Source organism: Homo sapiens, chromosome 5 (assembly GCF_000001405.40).
Source record: "Homo sapiens chromosome 5, GRCh38.p14 Primary Assembly".
NCBI lineage: Eukaryota > Metazoa > Chordata > Mammalia > Primates > Hominidae > Homo > Homo sapiens.
The window spans coordinates 107,695,212-107,698,721 of NC_000005.10; the positions used below are offsets into that span (position 1 = coordinate 107,695,212).

The following is a 3,510-nucleotide window of genomic DNA, read 5'->3' on the forward strand; positions in this document are numbered from 1 at the left end:
GTGGGATGGTTAATGGGTACAAAAATACAGTTAGAATGAATCACATCTAGTATTTGATGGCATAACAGGGTGACTGCAGTCAACAATAATTTATTGTATATTTCAAAATAACTAAAGAGTAATTGGTTTGTTTGTAAAACAAAGAAAGGATAAATGCTTGAGGTTATAATTATTAAGCATTGTATGCCTGTATCAAAATATCTTAAGTAACCCCTGTATATCGATACCTACTATGTACTCACAATTTTTTTTTCAAAAAAGTAAGACAAAACAAAAAACTAGAAGATGTAAGCCTTAAAAGATCTTATGGTGGCATAATCCTTACTACAGACAATATAAATGGCAAAAAATGTCAGGTACTTATCAAATGCTCAGTTAATACCAGCTTGTATTATCTATTTGTTAATGATGATCTCTCACATTTTAGGCACTATACTGGGTGCTCCAGTTGCAATTATTAACAAATAATCCATTCTATTCAGAAGTTCCCAGTCTAATGAGGAATACAAACAAGAAAAAATATTGCAAACTTTTATATATCCTATATTATATTGTTCTTATGGACCTAAAATATATTGTTTTTATTTTCTTTTAAAAAGTGTGGCATACCTCTCCACATCTGACACTTATTAGAACAATAAACAATAGTTTCCATTTTGTTATTGTGAAAAATGAACAGCAGTGGGATATTGAAAGGCAGTTTAATTCCTTCGGTTAAAAAAAAATGTTATTTACTAATATGCTGCAAAGGTGTTCAGTAATAAAAGTTAATTTAAAGGCACTCATCTGGCATTTATTTCTACATCATACTATCATTCTCACACAAAATCATCCCTGAATCCTTCCACAATACTTCATGATACTATGGTCCTTTATGTAGTTATGTTTGTATATATGCATGAGTGAGAGAGCAAATACGTTAATTTTTGAGCAGTCATAACATTTTTCCTTCCCCTTCCACCAGGCTTCTAAGAAGCAGCCTTGCTGCTTGGGCAGCTCCAAGCCTGGCCTTTTGTCCTGGTGATGAGAATAAGAGCAGAGCTGCACAATTTACATTTTAAAGGAAATGGAGCCCTGGCCCTGACCAATCCCAGAGGGAGGAGGAAGACAGAAGAAAAGGTTTACAGAAGCCAGAGTTAGGAATTAGAGTTTGGGGGAGTGAAGAGAGAAAAAGGAAACAGTGAACTGTTACCATGGCGAGCTGTGCAAGATGCTGAGATCTGAGACGAAATTGAAATACTGAGATATTGATAAGGGCTGAGGCGATACTGAGATCTGGAGAGAGAAGAGGGAAGAAGGCAGTGTGGGTGGAGGCAGGAAGACTCCTAGAAACCTTGCTGAGGGTTGTATAAGCTCTAGGTGATTTTCAGAGACACTGCAACAAGGATTTAAAATGCTTTTGTTAATTTATCCTGTGAGACTGGTGCTGCTACTGGCTATGTAGCCATGTGACACTGTGGGTGAGAGCAGCTCCACGCAGCCCAGGTTTCTCTGGTTCTGTGTTACTTCCCTACTGGACTCAGTCTTGAAAGTGAAGACTCTGCTAAACTTCTCTGCAGTGCAGCAGCCACTACGGTGGACCCTAGCACCCGAACCCTAGGGGATGCTCCATAAATACAGGTTGAATTAAATCATCAGGGTCTGGAAGTGGATTCATTGTAGGCATCTCTGAAAACGAAATAGGCACAGCAACCGATTGCATAAATGTGTCTGTGTGGCTCTATGTCGTGATAAAGTACCAAGCCAAGCAAGCATAACTTCCTACATTTTTGTGCTTGTGATGCCGACAGCTGTTGCAGACCTGGTTTACAGGTTTTACTCAGGTTTCTTGTTTGTTTTAAATGTTCAGTTGTCCTTCACAATAAATACATATTCTCAGCTCAAATGCACAAGCTTACTTTGCTGCAGCCGCCACCTCCTCTTGCCCCAGAATTGTGGGGGGCCGGGTAAACAGGGAGGAAATTCCCTAGTAGCGGGATTTGCCCACCACTTTGCCAGCACAGGCCAATTAAGGAAAGGGCAAAAGAAGGTATAGTCTCCTGGAAGCCTGGGAGAAGCTGCAGAGTTCTGGGTAGGCTGCACATTGGAATCACTGGCAGCTTAAAAAAATGAAAACACTTGTTTAGGCCCAATCCAGAAAATTCAAGTTGAATTCCTGGGCATCTGAAATTTTTTAAAGTCCCAGGGACTTCAGAGACAGAAACACTCTCCTCATCCTCCTAACCAAGTTGGAGTCTTCACTTTCCACATGATGCAATTGGTTATGCCTGCAGGCCTCTAGGCCTCTACAATTTAGTTAGTAGCCTGGGGCTGTGAATCTAAAGGAAGCTTTGCTACTGTTACTTTGACCCTAACTAGGGAGATCTGATGCCCTGGTTTGCCATGGCCAATCCCAAGTCATGCTGTTATCTTGGAAAAATTATTAATAGCTCCCACTTTTACTCTTAGAAGAGTCCAGGTTTGGATGGTAAATTATATGGTCACTCTATACATAACATTTAAGGAAAGCCAAGCCTAGGATAATGTTTACCTAGGATGTCTTCCAGCAACAATTTCAAAATTCTTTCACTCTTTTTCTTCCTCAATTGTCTTTCTTTCCAGTCTTTCTCCTTTCTCTTTCGTCAGATAAGGCTTAAATATCCTCCAAACAGCTCATTTCCTCACCTCACTCCTCATCCCAATCCCCTAGAAATTTTTCTTCTCATCTCCATGTTTCTGGAGTCCATGTTGAGACTACAGCTTGAAGATTTTTTATCTTGTTTGCCTTGTTTGGGGGCAAGGAGAGAAGGAAGTGTCCTGAAGCTCTGTGTGGCCAGACTACCCTGGACTCTTCCCCAGACCCTGGAAGACTAGAGAAATGGTCTATCAAGCATGATGTGTACAGGAAATGTGCTATGGCTGACGAGCGAATCAGGCACTGTCAAATGAAGACTGAGCCAAGTGTGAGGCTCAGACCACTACCAGCAGAGGAACAAGTTGACCCATGGGTCTTCTAGATTAAGCGAAATCACAGACTTCTCACAAAGGAATGCAAGGGCCAGAAACGGCCATCTTATTGGTCCCACCTGTCCTGTAAGGTTTTGAGCTCAACGTTTCTCCTTGAGTTGGACTCTATACTTTCAATCCAAAAGCCTGTGTCTGATATTTCTTGCCCTTTGATTCTGGGTTTGCATTTTCTCTACCTTTGCTTCATGTCCTAACTCCCACACATTGTATTAATAATACCACCAGCTTGGACTGATGCTTACCTCATGGAGCTCTTCCTGGATTCCATTTATATTTGTGGTGATTTCTCAATAACATAGGCCAGGACTAAGAACTCACCACTTGGGGCAAAGATGATGCACAGTCTAATTCAATGGCAAAGAGCCTTTGACATGGTTATAAATGTAGTCGAGTTTCCTTCATTTTTACTACCTGGTCTGTCCTCTACTCACCAAAGTTCAGATTTCTCTGCAGGGGTGATACTAGGAAGCAGACCGGAGCCTCTGAATCTGCTTTTACTTTATA

At 40.8% G+C, this 3,510-nt stretch overlaps 1 annotated feature.

Annotated features, from left to right (window-relative positions):
- Window positions 846–1,354: an enhancer, noted in NCBI's record as "OCT4-NANOG hESC enhancer chr5:107031758-107032266 (GRCh37/hg19 assembly coordinates)". NCBI's record gives its function as "activates a minimal SCP1, AML or CMV promoter by ChIP-STARR-seq in naive H9 embryonic stem cells {active_cell/tissue: H9 hESC(naive)}" and the evidence as "EXISTENCE:reporter gene assay evidence [ECO:0000049][PMID:30033119]".